General features: G+C 40.1%; 1 protein-coding gene across 18 annotated transcripts in view; it reads right to left on the bottom strand.

The window, feature by feature from the left end:
- The window catches only part of UNC5D (unc-5 netrin receptor D), a 561066-nt gene that overhangs the window by 45713 nt on the left and 493516 nt on the right, over positions 1 to 21837 (bottom strand). For all 18 annotated transcript variants that reach the window (NM_001438417.1, NM_001438418.1, NM_080872.4 and 15 more), the window contains 3 exons: positions 19732 to 19816; positions 2133 to 2301; positions 19 to 246 (listed from right to left, as the gene is read on the bottom strand). In NM_001438417.1, the coding sequence (NP_001425346.1) occupies positions 19 to 246; positions 2133 to 2301; positions 19732 to 19816 (482 nt within the window). The remainder of the gene's footprint in view (positions 1 to 18; positions 247 to 2132; positions 2302 to 19731; positions 19817 to 21837) is intronic.

Below are 21837 nucleotides of genomic sequence, written 5' to 3'. Positions count from 1 at the left end.
ATTAAAACAAAGGCTAACCTGAAATGCACAAGGGGTATTGTCCACACAGTAAACTCTCAAGTTGTAATCCAGGGAGTTACAGGACATGCAGCCAAAAACCGCCACCTTCAGTTGCTTCACGGCACAGTCTGTGATTGGCTCTCCAGTGAGCGCATAGGTCCCAAAGCTGTCCAGGAGCACATGACACGCAAAGGGGTCCAAAAGGCAGTAACAGGATGTAGATTCATCTTCCACTGACATCACTTCCTGTTGGGAAAGGTATGTTTATTCTCTCACTTGGAAATAAGATGTGATCTAACCTTTATATTGCCAGGACACAAATAAATAAACACACAAATATAAATTTGTTTTCAGAATAGTCCTATTGCCCAATTATCCCGATGTTAACTGTTCCTCTTCTATCAAAATAACTGCTGACATCAAGAACTCAAGAAATGGGCTAGGCATGGTGGCTCATGCCTGTAATCCCAGCACTTTGGGAGGCTGAGGCAGGCAGATCACCTGAGGTCAGGAGTTCAAGACCTCCTGGGGTGGGGTGGGGTTGGGGGGCGGGGAAGGGGTCAGGTCGGGTCTGAGGCAGGAGAATCACTTGAACCTGGGAGGTGGAGATTGCAGTAGGCGGAGATCCATCCACTGCACTCCAGCCTGGGCAATAAAGCAAGACTCCATTTCAAAAGAAAAAAAAACTCAAGAAATGGTTATGTTCAGTGTGTTGGAATTTCTACTTCATTGGTTATAATAACAAAAATCACTTGGAAAGTTCTGTTTCTGGCTAATTTGTTCAATGTTGAGTTTTAGAAATCTTAAATCTTATCAATAAGCAAACTTTTTTTTTTTTACAACTATTTCTGACAACTCTTTAAATATCCTTAAGGTAATGTTTATTTTCTCTCAAACATTTTATCCTCTTTCATTCCACTGAAATCATTTACAAGGGACCACTAAATAAATGAATTGGATAAGATGTACTAGAATATGTCACCCTCCTTGATAAGAACTTTAGTATATGTGACTGGTTTGATAGAGCATAAATATAACACCATCTGTGTATAAGAGATTGTGAGGAAGTGCTGGGAAGAAAAATTAAAGTGGCAAAAATCAAAGCAAAGCCAAACATAATGGGAAGAGGACTAAAACATGGCCCTTTAGGAAACCCATGGAACTTCATGCCCCAGGAAATCTGCTCATGGTTGCACTAAAACGCACTAAATAGCAGAATGCATTCTGGAACAAAGAAAATAGTTTCAAGACACTAGTTGGCAGGGTAAAGGTAATCCATTGTAGCAACTGGGAATTTTCTTCTTCTAAAGAAACATGATTTTCCTTTTACTTCTTTGGCCTGAAGTGCCTTCTGGGAGGAAGACCCTAGGGCTGGCTGGAACAGGTCATTTGTGTTCCAACAAAGATAATTCTCCCAGTTTCATGCAAGCTGACTGCAGATGGACATAAAGGAAGCTCTATCAGGCAGAAAAATCAGAGCTTTCACTTAAAATAGTAATTCAATTGCAATCTGTCATTGCTGTGACTGTCTTCCCTGTTGTTAATGTCTTATTATGTATCCTCATTCTCTTTCCTTGTCTCCTACTGTATCCCTTTTGTTTGCACTCATACACACAGGAAATAGACACTGATAATAATTCTCAATGCATTCGTTAACTAAAAAAAAATATTAAGCCCTAAATGTGTTCCTGATTAAACATAGATACCTTAGAATCCCCAGGATGGAAAAAAACAGACATAGTTATTTTCTTTCTGAACACAGACTGCCTGCCCTGAACCTCCTCCCTAACTCCACAGAGGCCACAGAATAATGTCCATTCAGACAGAGACAAGGCCAAGGGGGAAGTGAAGGGGATCAATGAGCAGGTATGTAGGTGTAGATGAATATATGGGTAATTACAACTGTATTCTAAAACCAAACAAATCTGGATTATCTCTTGCTTCTCTTTTCTATTATAATGGGGGGGGAAGAAAAACAACTAGCCAATATGTTTAGGATATTATAAAACACTTGCCACCAACCCTTTGCCAACAACGAAATGCTGATTTGTGGTGTTAGATGTTAAGGTTAAATATATCCCATAGGTGGAACCCAAATCCCACTGTTTAAAAAAGGAAGTAAAGGGTCTCACCTCCCATTTGCCCTGCTGTGTCCTCTTCTTTAAATGGATATTCCAATGCTCAGAACTGACATCTGCACAGTGCGGGATGGTCAATGCAAAGGGAGTGGTGACGATCATGTCTGGAGGACCACAGGTGACTTCAGGACTCAGGAGCACCTCAGAGCCATCTGACTGGAGGCTTCACAGTTGAAAAAAGGATAGAAGAGAGAAGTATGTAGAGGAGGGGCCATATTTGAATGAGAATTTGGTTAACAGACTGGGGTTTTCTTCAGGCTTATAAATATTCCTTTCCAGGATTTTCTTTTACAAAGGACTGGTCTGGAGAACAAGCATTTGTCATGAAGTTCTCAGACACACGGAAGGAGTTTAAGCCTAGATTTCAAATCTAGGTTTTGACAAACCCACCAACAAAATGACAAATGCTTCTTTGGAAATACAGGGCAGAATTGGAGAATGCAAAGACCTGGCTGGTGGGTCATGCACCAGCTACTGAATCCTTATTCTTGTTGATGCCATTATCAATGAGCAAACAAAAACTTTATAGAAATGACTGGTCTGGTCATCTCATTACCATCAAATTCCTTTCTCATGAAAACACAATCTAAAATATTCTTAATGCTGGTAAATGATAAAGCAAATTATTATGAAGCAAAACAGTATTTTGAAGATACAGACTGAGTGTGTCTATTCTGGCTTTGAAAACATTTATTTTTTGCCAATGAACAAATACATAGCTTATATAGCAATAGCACAGTAGACAGCTACAAGTGTGCATAATATCATACATAAATGTGTATCTTTCAACTCTTTTCTATTTTAGATCTAAATTTAAAATCATTCAATCCAAACCTGGTGTTCAGCTTTTTTGAATTGTGAATTATTTACAGTGAGAATGCAGTGTCATGGAACAGATAAAAGAAAGTGAAAGTTAACTAAAATGGAATAATAATACCTCATTGAATGCCTCCCTCTTTCACGTCTTTGGCTTTTGTTTTTAATCTGTGCCCCCAAACGGTAAGGAGGAGTAGTTTACAGAACAGTAATCAGCGAGAAGAACCCAGATGTCTGCTTATTTTTCCCCCAATGGCATATGTGTTCTTCAACAAGCTATTTGATCCTTTGTTTGCTGGATTTTCACTTGTAAGAAAAATAATAATATTGAATATAGAGCAATGCTACGGGAGAGCTGGAATTGGTATTATTACTAAAGCTTTTACTTATACTACCTAGGAAGGACAGTTAAATACTTCATCCTTGACCAAAAAAGCAACCCGTTGGGCAAAATAAAGATAAAATTTAGTGCTAAAAGATACCATCTTTCCCAAGATCTTCTATAAACAAAGAGTTTTTCTCTGAGTTCATCTAATGTGCTATTCATTTCTGAATTGCTTATGTTGACAACTCCTATTCTCTCAAGTTAGTAATGGTTATACTTGAGCTCATTATCTATAACTTGCTGCTGCAATAAAGCCAAGCCATATAATTGAGGAGCATCTTATGTCTACTGCGTCTAAAACAGTAGATGTAACATTATCATGTTGTCTCCTCCCCTCTCCAAGAAGCCCTGGAGATGTCTTTAAAAAGTTCAGTCTTCCACAAAAGTAACCACAGTCCAAAATGGACAATTCTTCCTATACGAGCAAAACACAGGTTAAGATGATCATGTCTTCATTTACCTTTAAGTAGGGGAGGCAAGGAGAGCGGGACTGGAAAGCAGTGTATTAGCAACATCAAATGCTCTGTGGAAAGCCTAGAATAACATACTCAAGGTTTGGGGAAAAAAACCATAAAATTCAAATGTGCAGCCTGTATGTGGGTGCCTGCCAGGGCCATCAGAGAGGGTGAAGTGCTTTTCATGTAATTACCGCCTGCATTCATCATGGACAGGAATAGCAGGGATGCTTATGAGTGACCGATGACAAGCTCTCCTAAAAGAACTATTTAATTGCTTTCAGAGAATCATCCTCCTTGTTGAACATATTGTTCAAACATATGGGAATTTGGGGAATTATTTAATGCCAAATGAACTGAAATCAGCTAATTAGATGAACTCTCACACTCGTTGTGAATAGCAAGACTCCTTTCACAGTGGTAACTTAAACAGCTTTAGGAGTCAGAGGCAGTGCATATTGAATATGAGCCAGGGCATGGAATAGGAGTTTTGCATTAAATAGGCATTAGGCATTTCCTTACGTGCAGAGTAAGTAAATCAAGATTTATATTTAATCCTCCTACTGTGAAAATAGTGTCCATGGGTGTAGGTCTCTCTCTGGTGAAGGAACAAAACTTCACCAGAAGTTCACCGGAACTTCACAAAAATCTCTCCATTTTTTTCTCCCCACAATTAATAACAATATGCCCTTTTCTGCTACCTTCTACCTGTAACAATCAGGGAGATTTACAAATATTAATTAAAGCTCTTCGCACACCTATAGAGGCAGGTGTTAACAGCATAAGGTCACAGAGGAGTCAATCAAGGTGATGGCAGGAAAATAACCCAAAATTTCTCACTCACAGGCTCTTGCTCTCAGTGACCAGATTGTACTTTTCTTCTCTGTTACCGGAGATTTCTGGTCAAATTGCTGGATCTTATGACATCCCAGGGAAAGACTGGGGAAGGGGGTTACAATATAGTCCAGGGGTAATCATGGAAACAGATTCAGGACATTTGAGGACAGAGGGCTGGGGAGAGAAGCCTTTAATTGGATGTGGACAAAAAAAAAAATGAGCCTTCTTAAGGAAATCATAGATGGCATTTAAGCTTTCCCACATTGCATAATCCACAACAAGGCAGTATACATGTCCCTGCTGGGAAAAAAAAGGTAACACATTTTTCTAAAATTGCTGTGAGCTAATAACAACTGTGAACTAATAAAAGCAGTGATTTCAGGATAAAAATATGAACCACCTCGATGTATCATACACCCTAGTGTGGTCTGTAGACTGAAAAACCTTTTTGCATAGAACTTTTGCTACTTAATGTTTTTCATTGTTCTCTATCTATACATATATGTGCACATATACATGCATGCTGATATATTTGTAGTTTAAATGCTGTGTATAGATAGAAGAAGTTTAATAATTTAAGAGCCCGGTCTTATTTCTATAGGAACTCTGCTTTCTGAGATGACTAATTCATGCAATTGTCATACATTGTCATTGCATCAGTGTACGCTTTGACTTAAATTCTCAATGCCTTAGGCATGTGCATGGTGGGCATTTAAGGCTCCTTGGAAATGATACTGGTCTCCTTGCTTTTATCCTTGCCTTTCACAGCCTGTCCCCCATGCAGCCACCTCAGTCATCCTACTAAAAATGCCAGTGTGTTCTCATCTCATGGAATTGCTACAATTCGTACTCTGGAGTGCTGCCTGCTTCCTGGAAGAGTTTTCCCCTAGACATCCACATGATTTACCCCACCTTGTGCCTGTCAGGTTCTTGCTTAACTGACATCTACTGATGAGGTTTTCTCTGACCAGGCCTTGGTAATTGCAACATTCCCAATACTAAAAGCAGATCTTTGTTTGACTTTTTCTCCTTAACACTTAATGCCCTCTAGTGTACCATACCATTTGCCTATTTATTATTATTTTGTCTGTCCCACAAACTAGAATGTAAGCTCCTTGAGGCTAGGGAATTTTTTTTTTTTTGAGACAGAGTTTTGCTCTTGTCGCCCAGGCTGAAGTGCAGTGGCACCATCTTGGGCTCACTGCAACCTCCGTCTCCTAGGTTCAAGCGATTCTACAGCCTCAGCCTCCCAAGTAGCTGGGATTATAGGCACATACTACCATGCCCGGCTAATTTTTGTATTTTTAGTAGAGACAGGGCTTCACCATGTTGGTCAGGCTGGTCTCGAACTCCTGACCTCAGGTGATCCACCCACCTCGGCCTCTCAAAGTGCTGGGATTATAGGTATAAGCCACCATGCTTCTTAGCTCAGGGATTATTTTTTTTTCCTGCTTAGGTCATCATTGCATCCCCAGTGCTTCATACATGCCCGCTGTAAGCACTCAAAAATACTTGTTGTAAAGGACACAGAAGCCAGCTTGAAGAGATTCTCACTGATCAAATCTGGAATCTTTTGAGCATCAGAGTAAATCATGGCAGTAAAGAATTATAACCCATTGAGTCATACTATAAGAATCCACAAAATAAAAATCCATGTAAGAATGAATCAATGAGAAGGGAAAACTCCTCCACACAAGAGAAAACCAACTAATAAATATAGTAAACCATCAATTAGCAATCAGCTACATTAATACTTGGTTGAGAATCATAAATGGATGTTAACCTATTGGGTGAAAGTTTAAACAGTAATAAATAACTATTTACACATTCCCAAAGTATCTTCCCACAAGGTACTTAACTATTTACGAAGGGTAAAATAGTACTTCACAGCAGACACCACCTAGCATGAATGACCAAGTTAACGTTCCCAGGAATGGGATGGATCCACAGAATATACCTCCCGACAGGACACAGAGAAGAGAACCTAGCGTCACTTCTGTGACATTCCTGCTAAAAGTACACAGCCTGAATCTCCTCATAAGGAACCATTAGACAAGCTCAGAGGAAGGCACATTCTGTAAAATAACTCACCTGCACTCTTCAAAGCTGTCAATGTCATGAAATACAAAGACTCAGGAATGGTTCCAGATGAAAGCAGACCAAAGGCACAGGACAACAGCATGCAATGAAGTGACTTGGACTTTAATTTACTCTCAAGGACATTATTCAGATAACAAGTGAAATATAAATAAGGTGTGTAACGTACTAAGAGTATTTTGTCAATGTTAATTTCCTGATTTTGTTAATTGTGCTATGTTTATACAAGATAATTTCTTGTTTGGGGGATATATACATGGAAGTATCTAGGGATAAAGGGTCATCTTGTTCACAGCGGTTAAAAAATACACATATGCACATATATGTATATATATGTATTGACTTTTATACGTATATGAAGGAGAGAGGAGAGAGACAAATACAGAATATTTAGTAAAATATTAACATTTGTGAATCTGAGTGTAGGACACACAGGAATTCTTGATATTATTGCAATTTTTCCTTGAGTTTGAAATTTTGTCAAGATTTAAAAAAAATTTTTTTTTTTTTAAAGTGAGTGCAGCTGGGCATGGTGGCTCATGTCTGTAATCCCAGCACTTTGGGAGGCTGAGGTGGGGGGGATCACTCGAGGTCAGGAGTTCAAGACCAGCCTGGCCAACATGGTGAGACCCCATCTCTACTGGAGAGAAAAAAATAGAAAAATTAGTCAGGCGTGGTGGTGCATGCCTGTAGTCCCAGCTACTCAGGAGGCTGAGGCGAGAGAATTGCTTGAACCCAGGAGGTGGATGTTGCAGTGAGCCGAGATCACCCCAGTGCACTCCAGCCTGGGCAACAGAGCGAGACTCTGTCTCAAAAAAATAAATAAATAAAAATAAAAAATGAATGCATGAAAATAGAAGGCCCAGGGAGAATTTTTCCAGAATTCTTACAAAGAAATCAGCAGGTAGACTGCTCTGTAAATATCTGTTAAGTCCATTTCATTCTAGGCTACAATATAAGTCCATTGTTTCTTTGCTGACTTTCTGTCTTGATGACCTGTCTAGTGCTGTCAGTGACTGGGTACAGTATACACCGCTTGGGTGATGTGTGCACCAAAATCTCAGAAATCACCACTAAATAACTTATTCATATTCATGTAACCAAACACTGTTTCCCAAAAACTATTAAAATAATAATTTAAAAAAATCAGTGGGGCCACTGATTAATGTATGAAACACACAGTGGAGGATGATGAAGGTGCTGCAGTTGGTGACAGGGTGATGGTCCAGACCTTACCACGTAGTACCTAACATCCTACAGCACCCATCTGCACACAAGTGCCAACCAGAGGTCATGTTGAAGGTCAGCTACGAGGCACCAACTGCTAATAACCATGGCAGGATGGGAGGTGTATCCTGGACATTTTACCTCTGTGCTCAATACTCCTTGACCTGCTGCTAGGCTTGTAACACTTCGCTTTCTTTAAGGAAAGTGACCAGTTCCAAGTTCCAATATGAGGTTTTTACTGTAGCTGTTGTCTTCCATGCTGTGCTTGGTAATTACCATTCCCTCCTTTCCTCCTTGTGGTCTATATTCTAGATTAATGTAGGTTTGATCACCTTTACCCAGGGTATCACTCAGGAATCCAGGCAGGAGAGTAATGATAGTTTTACTATGTCAGACCCTGGGTCGATACATAATTAAGTCATATTTGAATGGAAAAGACATCAAGGCTGATAGATGGAAGCTGTACTCAAGTTTTCCATGCACAAGACATATAGTTTTAACTATTATTATTCATTTTTCATTAAGATCCTCAGATTTTGACCTGGGGTACTAAAATTGCTGTGGATAAAAATTAAGGTTTTAAGGTTTATTATTTGTCTCTCTCTCTTTTTTTTTTTTCTTGGAGTCAGATCTCTCTCCTACTCAATTGCTCTGACCAGAGATTTCAGATCAGTCCCAGGGACATGACATCATCGAATCTCCTAGACAGATGGACCCTTTAAAGCCAGCTTTTCCCATCAGCCAACCCCAACACTGTGGCTATGTCTTCTACTTCTGGTAATCGCTATGTGTGATTTAAGAAAACAGACTCCTGGAGAGGGAGAACAGGAAGTGAGCAGAATGGAGGACAAAAGTGACATTGAGCAACATCTTCTCTTTATTATAGCAGACTCCTGTTTTCATCTTCAAGTGGTTCTAAAACTGTGATGTTTTTCAAAATTTCTTAGGAAGCTTGTTTAAAATTATACTCCTGGATGCCACCAATGAAGATTTTGACTTGGTATTTCTGGGATAGGGCCCAGGAACCTGCATTTTCTACATGCAAGGTGGTGCTGGCACTAACATTTGAGAAAAGTTGTGTAGTTCTTAAAAAAAAATCCAAAGCAACATCTCATGCACTGGGGCCTTGGTGCTCCATCAAATATAGGACAGTCCATTCTGAAGTGGAATATAGTTGATGGTCAAGTTTAAATGCTCAATATTAAGGCCCTGGCTGATGCTACTATGATGGAAAATCCAACTACACGGGGACTGTTCCTACATCCTGTTTCTCTGAGTAACATGTGTATTAATAGGCAAGGATTTCAGGTTGGGGGGCTGATTAGCAGTAACTGGAAATAATGTTATAACTCATCATGCCATTATAGTCCATTCATAGGGGCAGGAAAAGGAGCAGTTAGAACAGTGGATTATTACAAGCAACAAGCTCCATTCACTGAGGATAGAAGCATATGGATGTACTATTAAAGGGCTTAAAGATCTGGGTCACCCACACGCTATTATCTGAAATAGGATCACAGAAAGAGATGGCATACGGGGTTGGGGCGGGAGGGGAATTATATACACACTGGAATGAGTATCTGAATTTGCTGAAATTTGAGCAACACCACACAGAGAGATTACCCTGTTTGCATATGTTAAACGGCTTTAGTTTACACACACATTCATAGGGTGTTTACCAATTAATATACTAAAGGAATCACAAATCATGTGTAAATCACCAGTTCCTAGACACAATTTAAGCCTCATCTTTCATGCAGTGTCAGGCTTGCATTTAGCTTGCCTTTTTAGAAGAAGTGAGATAGTGAGATGATGGCTCATTGAAAGTGCCTTAAAAATGAATGAGAGTGAGGAGGATGGGAGAAGAGTGGGACTATGTATCATGCTGCTGGGGCATTTTTTTATATCCACCACGCTTATGCACTTATATTCTGGATAGAGAAAACAGCCTTCTCTGGAGGTAATCTGAAACCTATTTCACAGAATCCTTTTATTTTAGGCTGGGGAGGGGCTCAGGAGTTTTGAGGCCAACATCTTCTTTGTTCAGATGCATGGCATGGGGTCGGTAACCCAACCAAAGTCACATCTCAACTTTGCAGAGCTGGAACCACAGTCTACTACTCTGTTACTCATGGTTGGGATAGGTAGGCAGTAGAAGGAAGAAGGAATATGTTCCCTGGGATATATTCTCCAAACCTGGAGTTTAAATTAAAATGTCGGCATGGGAATTAAGACTGCACTCATAGACACTAAACAAAGCCCAAGGAAAGCAGGGCCCTGAGGTACACAGAGGGGTCAAAATAGAGGCTTGTATTAGCTTCCCATTACTGTCACAGCACAGACTTACTGGCTTAAATCACAAATTATCCCACAGTTCTCTAGGTCAGAAGCCTCACTGAGCTAATATGAAGGCTGTCAGGAGGCTTGTGCTCCTTCTGAAGGTTCTAGGAGAATCCAGTTTCTAGAGGCTGCCTGCATTCCTTGGCTCAAGGCCCCTTCTTCAAGCCAGCAGCATGATACCTTCAAATCTGTCTCTCCCTCTGATATTCCTACCTTCTTCTCCTAAGGACCCGTACATTAGATAAACTTGGAGAGTCCAGGATAATCTCTCCTTCTCCTTTGATCTTAATTAATCTGCAAATTCCCCTTTGTACGGTTGTCAATTCACAGGTTCTAGGAACTAGGACGTGACATCTCTAGGGAGCCAGCTTTCTGCCTTCTGCCAGTCTTTTCATGCCTTGAGATCCCCCTGGGGCTGTCTCCTGATCCACTATTGTCTCTCAGACACCACGCAATCCAACCAAGGTATCTGTTCACTTTAGGGCTATCTTCATTGTTTCAGTTTCCAGAACACCCACCGTAATTTGCAGAGCGAAGCTCCATATTTGTATATAACTTTATGGAGTCCTGGAGGTTGTTATGGTTTAATTTAAAGAAAGATTATAACTGTGGGGAATAGAAGGTTGATTGTCCAGGTTTTCAAAGGGCTATGTGGATTGTCTTAGAAAACGTGGGAGCTGTCTCTGTGTGGGCTGGTGTCTTTGGGTATTTTTATTAGGCTATAACAAAATGAAGTGGAAAGGATGATATATATTAAATATCTTAATAGGACAGGTTATTTCTACTTCCAGCATGGGCAATAAAAGAGATGGCACATACAAATAAAAATAATTACAGTATGTGGTGCTCCTTTACAATATGCAATCAAACTCATGGACCAGTGACTTTCCCCTTATTGAATTAAGGTACACCTTCCATTCATATCTATTAATAACATTCACAAACCATTGTTATCTTGTCAATGGCATCTTTAATTAAAGACTCCTCTGGGCCACTCTAATCATTTCACATTGTGAGTGTCCATGGTCTTCAAATGCACTCAATCATTAAGATGATAGCAATTTTTATTTACTTGTGTTTACTTGTGGACTGAGGGGGTTTGAGGTGGAGAGGAACAGCAAGGAGAAATGCTTCTTTCCAAAAAGAGCAGGTCTTAAAATGACAATGTGATTTTTAAAAAATTTGTTCCTCTCCCCCTTTTCTATCTCTTCCTCTGCTCACTTATTTTGGGAGGTGGGGGCCGGCGGTGGGTTAATGGCATTATATTCTAACCTAAATGACTCTGTGAAGAAATCATCATGATTTCACTGGGGAATAGAGTACAATCTTCAGCTAAAGGTGCATTAACCCTTCTAGGCCATTAAGATACTATTTGATAAATTGCCCTTTTTGTTACACTGCATGGCACTGGTAGCCTGAAAGAATTAATGTATTTCCTAAATGGCAGCAATTTACTCCCCCTTGCATTAACAGAAAAAGCCCCCTTTGTTACCTGGGAGGCATCTTTCCTCAGTGATTCTCTCTATGCCTGGTATAGAGTTAATTAATGCCAAAAATCTTGGAAGAAATAGGTATATACCATCAATTGGATTCTTCTAAGACAAAAGACAGATTTCTAAGTCTCACAGCAACAAATCAGATTCTAATCCATGATTGACCATTGAACACAAATGATGACATGGACGATTCACGCATTTTCATCCATTGCTAGCAAGAAAAGCCTGACAAAATGGACAGGGAGAAAAGTTGTTTAAGGTGGCATAAGCTTGACTGACCTGCCCTGCTTGACTGGTCACTGATTTCCTAATCTTGGCACCAGCCCACATACAGTCTACTGTTTAGACTAATATGATGTACCTTTAAAGTATAAATCACATGCCAGAGTGTTATGAGAAACAGAGATAGACTCAAAGGAATTGATGCAGGGAGTTATCTGTATCTTCATGAGGCTCTTGGTTTTAAAGCCAACTATTAATATGTTTGCTATAATTGAATTAATCTTTCCTCTGAGTCTAGGACTGTGTTAGCAACAAAAAGAGATGAACTCTACATCACTGGGACAGAGCTAAAGCAAATTCCATGTACTTCAGAGAATTTCTGTCATCTATGTAATTAAAAAAGTAAGACCAGGTATAAAAAGATGATTTCCAAATGTAGCATTTAAACAGTACTTCACAGTTTGCACCAGACTTCTCAGCTATCAAGTCATTTTATCATCCTCACCAAAATCTGAAAGCAAAGTTACTAATATATAAAACTGGTAGATGATAAAACTGAGGCCTAGAGAAAGAGAATGATTTGCTCAAGTTTACACACACAGGCTGTTACTGAGAAGGGCTTGGAACCCAAGACTTCTGAATTCCTGTGTCCTCTCCACTCTACCATGCTATGTCATTTCTGAGAATTTTCTTTCTTTTCTTTTCTTTTCGAGACAGTTTCACTCTTGTTGCCCAGGCTGGAGTGCAATGGCTTGATCTTGGCTCACTACAATCTCCACCTCCTGGGTTCAAGCGATTCTCCTGCCTCAGCCTCCCTAGTAGCTGGGATTACAGGCACACACCACCACACCCGGCTAATTTTGCATATTTAGTAGAGACTGGGTTTTTCCATGTTGGTCAGGCTGGTCTTGAACTCCCGACCTCAGGTGATCCACCCACCTCGGCCTCCCAAAGTGCTGGGATTACAAGCGTGAGACACCAAGCCCAGCTGAGATTTTTTATTTCTTATGTTATGTCAACACTGAGGTCTGCATTATTTTCCTGACTAATTATTTATGATATCAGTTCACTTCAATGAGTTCCAGGACCAGCATATTCTTACTTCAGAAGGCAAAGAAAACAAAGGAAGGCAGAAGATTTTGCCTTGAATGAAGCAGGTAGGCATAATTACACCAAATATCATGACATCTTACTAGTTAAATGAGATTACGGTCACATGCTGTGGCAAAAGCTGATGTGAGATTTCAATTCAACAGTCATTTTTTGTTCTGGTTATAAATATTCTTTTTTCCTTCTTTATTAATTCTTCAGTCATTTTTTTTTTCCTACCCTTTTTCTTGTAAGTCAAAGAGCTATGTTTATTCCCTGGAAAGAAATCCAAAGTTGCTCCCAGAGCAACTATTATCACAAACTCTCAAGTGACCTTCAGTCAGCAAATCTCTCTCTCCTAATTAATCATCAGTTTCTGAGCCAGAATTCTGGGAATTATCTTCAATTCCTTCATCACACATTAACACACACACACACACACACACACACACACACACACACACACACACACAGAGCAGATCTTGCCAAGTTTCTCCCCAAGTCTATCTCAAAACTCCCCGCTGACAGCAATGTGGGGATTAGAGAATGGATTTAGAAACATTAAAATCTAGAGACGAGGGCACTCAAAAGTAGAGTAACTATAAATTATTGCCCAAATTGAGATGCTTTTGAGGAGGAAAAGAAACACTATTAATAATTGTGCCAAGGAAAATAAAACATAGTTTCACTGTGCTCTCAAGGAGGGTGCTTATCTAGTGAAGATTTGAACTTGGGCAATATTGGTGGAGATGAAACAGAATCTATCTAAAATATAAGCATGACTAGGTCTCCCAAAACTTAAGCCTCACTCACCCCTACCCACCAGATAAACTGGATATTCTCTGGGTGGCAAACATCGCTACACGATCTAGTCCTTATTTCTTCAGCCTCATTCCCTGTCACTCTTCCTTTCATATTTCGCTCTGCTTTGCTTAGCTTCCAAAATATGTGATGCTATTTATACCTCTGTGCCTTTGAACACACCACTCCCTTGGAGAGAAACCCCTTTTACTCTTTTAGTTTATAAGACAACTGTTATTTCTCTGAAACTTTCCCTGAGCCTTTAAACGGGGTTCATCCTTTCACTGTGGTCACCGTATATACCACACTGCAATATGATCATTCATTTAAAGAACTGGATTTGCTTATGGGGCTTAACCTATTATGGTATGAAATATATCAACTATGGTTTTGGTTTTCCTAGTAATTGTTAACAATTATGCTTGTTGAAACCATCCATAGTAGCAGGGTCCCTTGAAGACATTTCATTTTTCTTATATAACTGTTCAGTAACATCTAGTTATTAAAAGAGTGTAATTTGGTTTTTAAGACTCCTTTTTCTTTTATTGTTGTTTGAGACAGGGTCTCGCTGTATAGCCCAGGCTGGAGTGAAGTGGTGCAATCTTGGCTTACAGCAGCCTCGACCTCCCATGCTCAAGCCATCCTCCCACCCCAGCCTCCTGAGTAGCTGTGACTACAGGCATTTACCCCCATGCCCTATTAATTTTGTTTTATTTTATTTTTATTTTCTATACAGACAAGGTCTCAATTGTTGCCCAGGCTGGTCTCAAACTCCTGGGCTTGGCAGAAGGAGGGGGTGTGTTACCTTCTGAAAAATCAAGGCCCTCAAAGGTGCCAGGAAAAGCATATACAGTTTCATATTTTACTGAGATGAGCAGTTTAGAATAGCCACAAATGTCTACTATAACATAAAGAATAGTTCACTACAAACAGATTCATATCATAAAAACTCCATTCTTATTAAGAGAATGACCAGCTGGCCCATCTTTTAATCTCATTGATAAAAGATATATACCTGCTTTCTTTTTACTCTTTTGGAGATGAGGTCCTCTCAAATAGTCCAAGGACATTTCTGAGTGCTTAGGTCTGCATGATATATGAGGAGGCGTGTGTATGATTTTGTTTTTGTGTGTATGGTTTTTGCTACTGGGGAAGAAAAACCACAGTAATCTCCACAGTAATGGCTTATACTGCAGTGTTTGTGAGCCCCATTACTGGGAATGAAATTCTATCCTTTCTTCTCTATTTTCCAGAGCTAGATTCTTTTTGCCTTTCTAGCCTTGTATTTGCTCTTATTTCATGCCTTGCTATTAAAGCCATGGTACCATCTAAGCACCCTAAAAAAGATAATGTTTTCTATTACCACCACCTCTACCTTCTCAATCCTTACCCCAAAATGTACTTACTGGGCAGACCATACCATCTAACAGAAGTGGTTGAAATGTCCCATCTGGGCTGAGCCCAAATTTAAAAATATGTGTTCTTTTGTAAATTCTTCAATAAGATGACTTACAACATTTCCAATTTTAGTCTAAGCATTTGGTCAGGAGTATCCACATGACAGTGTAATTGGAAAAAGAAATGAATGTTTGTCTTTGGTTTCATTTTATTGCTTTTCAGAAGAAAGCCCCATATAATAATTTTCTGGTCCAGTTCTCTCCTCTCCAACCATGGGGTCGGGGGCGGGGTGCAAAAGGAGAGCTGGGAGAGGAGAGGAGTAGTGGGAACTTCCTGCTACATCTGTATCATTCTCTTATTGTAATGTCAGTGAAAAGAATCTCTGAAATGACATTGTTGATTTTTTAATCCTGTTTGAATACTTTAATTTTATTAAAATGATCTAAAGGCTGGGCACGTGGTGGTTTATGCCTGTAATCCCAGCACTTTGGGAGGCCGAGGCGGGTGGATAACCCGAGGTCAGGAGTTTGAGACCAGCCTGGCCAATATGCCCTGTCTCTACTAAAAATACAAAGATTAGCTAGGTGTGATGGCGGGTGCCTGTAATCCCAGCTACTCGGGAGGCTGAGGCAGAGAGAATCACTTGAACCTGGGAGGCAGAGGTTGCAGTGAGCCAAGATGGCGCCATTGCACTCCAACCTGAGCAACAGAGCGAGACTCCGTCTCAAAAAAAAAAAAAAAAAATTTAAAGTGTGTAGAATAAAATTTCCCCTCCCTCAAAAACATTCCCAATAAAATGTAAAAAAAGAAATACCCCAGCTGGGCGTGGTGGCTCACACCTATAATCCCAGCACTTGGGGATGCCGAGGTGGGCGTATCACCTGAGGTCGGGAGTTCAAGACCAGCCTGACCAACATAGAGAAACCCCATCTCTACTAAAAATACAAAATTAGCCAGGCATGGTGGCACATGCCTGCAATCCCAGCTACTAGGTAGGCTGAGGCAGGAGAATCGCTTGAACCCAGAAGGCGGAGGTTGCAGTGAGTCGAGATCACGCCATTGCACTCCAGCCTGGGCAACAAGAGCAAAACTCTGTCTCAAGAAATAAAGAAAGAAAGAAATACCCCAAGTCTTTCAAATTAAAGTTTGGGAAATGAGACAGGCTTTTTTTTTTTTTTTTTTTTTTTTTTTGACAGTGATTACTGCTGGTTTCCTCCCCTGCAGAGGGAGTAAAGCACTGTGGAGGGGAGGAGGCCACATCTAGCATGGATGGCTTACATACCCTTGATCCAGGAGGAGCCCCAGGGCTGAGATCTCACCAGCAGACTAATTCTGACAGCTCCAATTTCATGCCATGGCCTTTGTGTCAGGCCACTCCAGTACCTGTTCTTACAGCATCACTAAATATCTTCTATGTTATAAATGGGATAATGCATTAAACCAACTCTTTGCCTGTGGCAAGGCCTGGGCTACAGTTGGAAGGACACTGTTGAATGCAATGTTCTGGCATCAGGGTGACTTTAAAGGAGGAAAAAAAAAAATCACTGGGTTTAGACCCCTCTACCCCTCAAACCTCTATAGAAAACTACAGGAAAATGCATTGTGGAGGATGCAAATCATTGAGCTATAGACCTTACTCCTTTCTTTGTCTGGCTAATTCCTATTCATCTTTTAAGACTCAGTTCAGTGACATCTCCAGGAAGCCATCCTCACCCCTGTACCCCTCTTTAACCCAATCCTTAGAATGGATTAAAGGCCCTGATTTAACATACCAGTTCCACTTCCATTACATCACTACCCTGATATATTGGGGCTGTAACTCAGACATGGGCAACATAAATGTATAGTCAATAGGAGAAATGGAGCAGACTTTAATTTCAAGACAGCATAAAGATGTGGTTTGGAAGATCCTACTGTGCTCTGTGTGTGTGGAGGTGATGGAGAGTCCATAAATCCAGTTCTCATGATGAACTAAGACAGAGGGAACCGTGGTGGCTCTAGAGGTAAAGATGACAGGAACTGAACAGTGCATTCCAGCTCCATGAACTTCGAGGAAAACGGGCCTTCTTCTCAGCACAAGTTCAGGATGGCAGACGTACAGCCCAAAGTGAAAATGGGTTTTCAAGTGATATTACAAAGAAAAGGTGACACACTGGCCTTTTCCTGATCACAAGATTAAAAGCTGAAGAACCAGACCCAAGGAGCCTCCTTGCAGAGATGAAACAATTCACCCCAGCTTAAAATGAAGTAGTAGAAAGGTATTTGCTATTTTCAGTGTTTTTCTAAGTAGTCGTGAGCTATCAAAAGGGAGTGAGGCTTGTCAAGGAAGGTAAATGGCCTTTAGCCCAGTGACAGGTCATTTCCTTAGAGATAACATCTGGGAAGGTTTCAGCTACCTGAAAAGGAATGTGCGGCTTCCTGTAATTTTTTTTTTTCACAGTTTAGTAGAGAGAAAAATTCATACCTCACAGATCTAAAGTGTTAGAGAAGGTTCTTCTGTTTCTGTCCACCTTCCTAGACAGCAGTAGACACAGAAGGATAAACCAAATTGGTTACCATAGAGCTTACAAAGCATTCAAGGGGTGACCACAGGAGGCCAAGCTGTTTTTTGAGGTCTTTGGGCTCTTGTGAGTTCTAGGTGTTCCTCTCTCTTACTTTAAAATTGCAGGTAAGTTGTAAATGAGGTGCCTTGGAAAATGCGAAATTGCCCTAAGTTGGTTCTCATGTGATGAGCTGGGGATGGATTTGAGAGGAATGAGCTCAACACAGGCTTACTGGATCAATTACAACCAAGGGAGGGGGATGCAGAGCTAGGAGTGTGTAGGAAGCTGTGATTCAGGGAAAGTGGACTGGATTATACCTCATACTTGATTTTTGCAGCATGATATGTTTTAAAGCATATGTATAATGGGCCATAACCACAAATTCAGATAGGTATGGTTTCTTAAGTAAATCAACCTAATGGGTAAAAAAGGGGTGACTTCCATCCAGGGAACTCCATTTTTAGGTCTGCTTAAGTGACTAACCTAAGATTTTGAGTAAACTCTTCAAACCTTCTGAGCCTCTTTTTCCCCCCAGTTGCCAAGTGGAGATATTTAGACACCAGCACTTTTTCAGATATACAAGTAAAGAATCTAGCTTTAAACAACTGGGGAAATAACATGAGATCCCAACATAGCACAACCTGCACACAAATCCCCTAAGAGCCAGCCTCACAACCAAATGGCAGAACCTTTTCTTCCATGCCTCTCGAGCCCTGTACAGCAGAAAGTTAAAACCATTGAGTACCAACAAATCCTTTTATAGAAATAGCTATCAAAATCTGTTTAAACCATCTGTTTCTCTGGCTGTTTTTCCTCCCAGTGTTTTTCTTTCATGTGTTCTTTGCTAACAACAACAAAAATAATCTATTCTAAAATAAGCAAGATGTTATAACTAAAAATGCTAGAGGTATATATCCAGTTTATGAGAGAAATTGCTTTCTGAAGAGGAGTCAGGTTTATCTTGTGTGGAGGAAGACAACATTTCCAAAAATATTATACTTGCACTAAGAAAATAACCAACTATTTTCATTAAAAGGGAATGTGACAAGATTTGTATTTGTTCCTGTAATTGAATTTAATGCTGCTGAAATTTGTCAGGCCTGAAAGCAGTTGATGTTTCAGGTCATATTTTCACATTGCCTAAAATTGCCTAAGAAATTGTCTCTCGGGCAGTATAGAGTAGGTCTTCTGCCTACCGTAAAAGGATCACGAATCAATCATCGTATGTATTTGCCTAAGGCTTAGCACCAGTGAGTGCCTCCGGGGATATTTTCTTTGGAGAGGAAGACTCTGAGACAGTCAGCGTTTATGGAGTGGCACTGCTTCTGACCTAACGATTCACTGTTTTCCATTTGGTGTCTCTTGTGTAGAGACTGGTGACCATAAAACTGTGGAGTCATGTATGGTTTCATTTCAGCCAGTAGTTTTGCAATTGTTTTTTTCCTTTCTAGAGTCAAGGAGTTCATGATCTCATCTATCTATACACCTCTAAGTCTCATTCTCTTAATAGTTTCAGATTTTCTACAGAAGTTCCAGTCCATATTTAAAATGCCCTTTTTTTTTTTTTTTTTTTTTTTTTTTTTTGGAGACAGAGTCTCACTGTTGCCCAGACTGAAGTGCAGTGGCACGATCTTGGCTCACTGCATCCTCTGCCTTCCAGGTTCAAGCGATTCTCCAGCCTCAGCCTCCTGAGTAGCTGGGATTACAGGCATGCATCACCATGCCTGGCTAATTTTTTTGTATTTTTAGTAGAGACAGGCTTTCGCCATGTTGGCCAGGCTGGTCTCGAACTCCTGACCTCAAGTGATCTGCCTGCCTCAGCCTCCCAAAGTACTGGGATTACAGGCGTGAGCCACTTTCTTTAATATGCTATTCTCTGTCTCTCACCTGGGTTCACCTTGGTTGATGGACATATAAATCTCCCAAGAATTCTCCTCTGGGATGGCACCGTGTGGTATGAGTAAGCTCACCCCTAAAACAGAAAAAGCCAACAGGTTATTCATAGATTTTTCCAATTATCATGAAGTTTGTCACTCGAGCACCTTACAGATACCTGGAAAACAAGCTACTTTCTCATGGCAATTTATGAAATCTCAATCCTTGGAAAGTTTAAGGTTCAAGATTATAACAGGAAAAACATTGTTTTATAACAGTGACATAAGGAAGGGCATATTATTCAACTGAGTACTCAAATTAGTTTTTTTTTTTTATTTTAAGTCATCCCAGCATTAATTCTTTTAAAAGATTGAGTGTTCTAAGACCAGGCAGTATTAAACATATCTGAGAATGCAAGAGTTTATCCATACATCACTTAATCTGCTCCAAAATTTAAAAAAATGTATATCTCATCACTATCTGTTTATTTCCTGAAAACCTACATGAAATGATGGGTGAGTGAGTGATCTAATACTGTGCTAGAACCCAGGATGAAGCTGTCTTACCAGTAGTGCATCTGGAAGCAAGTTGAAGGTGGTACTCAGTGGGGTGTCGCATTTTGTCAAGAAAGTGAAAGCATCTGATGTACTTAGGAGCCTTATAGATTATTGCACAACCATGACCCTTTCTAGCAAACAGAACCTAGAAAGGGTTAAGGCGAAAGGTTACTTAACTAGAGTCATGTCAATGTCAGATTGGAAAAACTAGCAGCCTTACTTCCATAAAATCATACAATGCAGGAAGGGAAGGCACAGGAAGCCACATCTCACTGCATCTTAAATGTCCTCTCCTTCCTCTAAAACGCTGTGAAGAAAATACTGCACCTTGGCCAAGAAAGAAGAGTCTAAGGAGGGCAGGGATTCTCTTTAATGTAGCTTCTTGTTTATAAAAAGAAATGAAATAGAGAAACAGTAAGATCCTTACAAAATAAAATCTCAAGGCAACCTCCTATTCTTTGAGTAAGGCAGCTCTCAACTTCTTTTCCTTTCATTAGAGCTAATGTAAATCGCTCAGAAGAGTTTCAGGTTGCTGATGATAATTTAAATCTAGAGATGGCAGTCTTTCCTGATCTCCTTCTATGTGCCTGTTAGCAGCAACAAAACCAAAAAACGTAAACCTTATTGCAAAACAAGTCATTTATGATTCACATTTGTAAGCATTATTCAGTAATATGCTAGTTATCAGTATCTTTCACCAGCACTAAGAATAAGGCACGTTTAAATCTTGGTTACAGCTTGGCCTTATGGAGGTCCATTTATATTCTGAACCTTAATGTCAATAGTAGAACTATAATTGCCACACTTAGAGACCTCCAGTCCAACTCTTCCCTCCCTTGTCTATTCTTCCTTAAATGTAGTTGCCAAATGAAGGGGCCTCCATTATAAACCTCCCTGCTGCTAAACACAAGTTGCAAGACACAGGACATCCAGTGTGCTCGGAAGTCAACCTAAATACATGCCCTCGACATTCTGTCTTCTCTTAGTTTGACCTAAAACTTCCTCTCTGCTGCCGCTCTTTCAGGCTGTCTAGGTCATTACGATGACAGAGACATGCAGTCTGTATTTTTCAGACTTAGAAGTACAGGAAACTATCATCAAGCAACAATAATAATATTAAATCAATTACACTTATCACAATGCCACTCGTGTAGCAGGAAGCCAATAAACACATCATGAAGATATAAACGAAATAGGATTCAAAATTCTTAGTAAAAAAGACAGGGTCCGAGACATGTTAGCTTCTGTAGATCATCATAGCCTGATGGCCAACTCTCATAGCAAAACAGAAGAAAGATGTGTGAGGACAATTGAGAAAGAGCTGTCTGCGCAGATCACACCTTATTCCTTTCAAGTTGGCTTAATTATCTGTGTTTAGATTGAAACATTATTCAGAATACTCCTGAATTCAACCTGAATCTATGGGATCACTGGAGCTTTAAATGATTTTTCTCTCTTCAATCAGAAATGGTGTTATCTTTCAAACATACTTCCCCCACTCCTCCTGCCCAAACATGCAAATACTACGTGGAGTCTGAAATAGTCATACACAAAGGCACAT

This window comes from Homo sapiens, chromosome 8, assembly GCF_000001405.40.
Source record: "Homo sapiens chromosome 8, GRCh38.p14 Primary Assembly".
NCBI lineage: Eukaryota > Metazoa > Chordata > Mammalia > Primates > Hominidae > Homo > Homo sapiens.
Note: the sequence above shows the minus strand (reverse complement) of the source record. Positions and strands in the feature narration are given on the sequence as shown.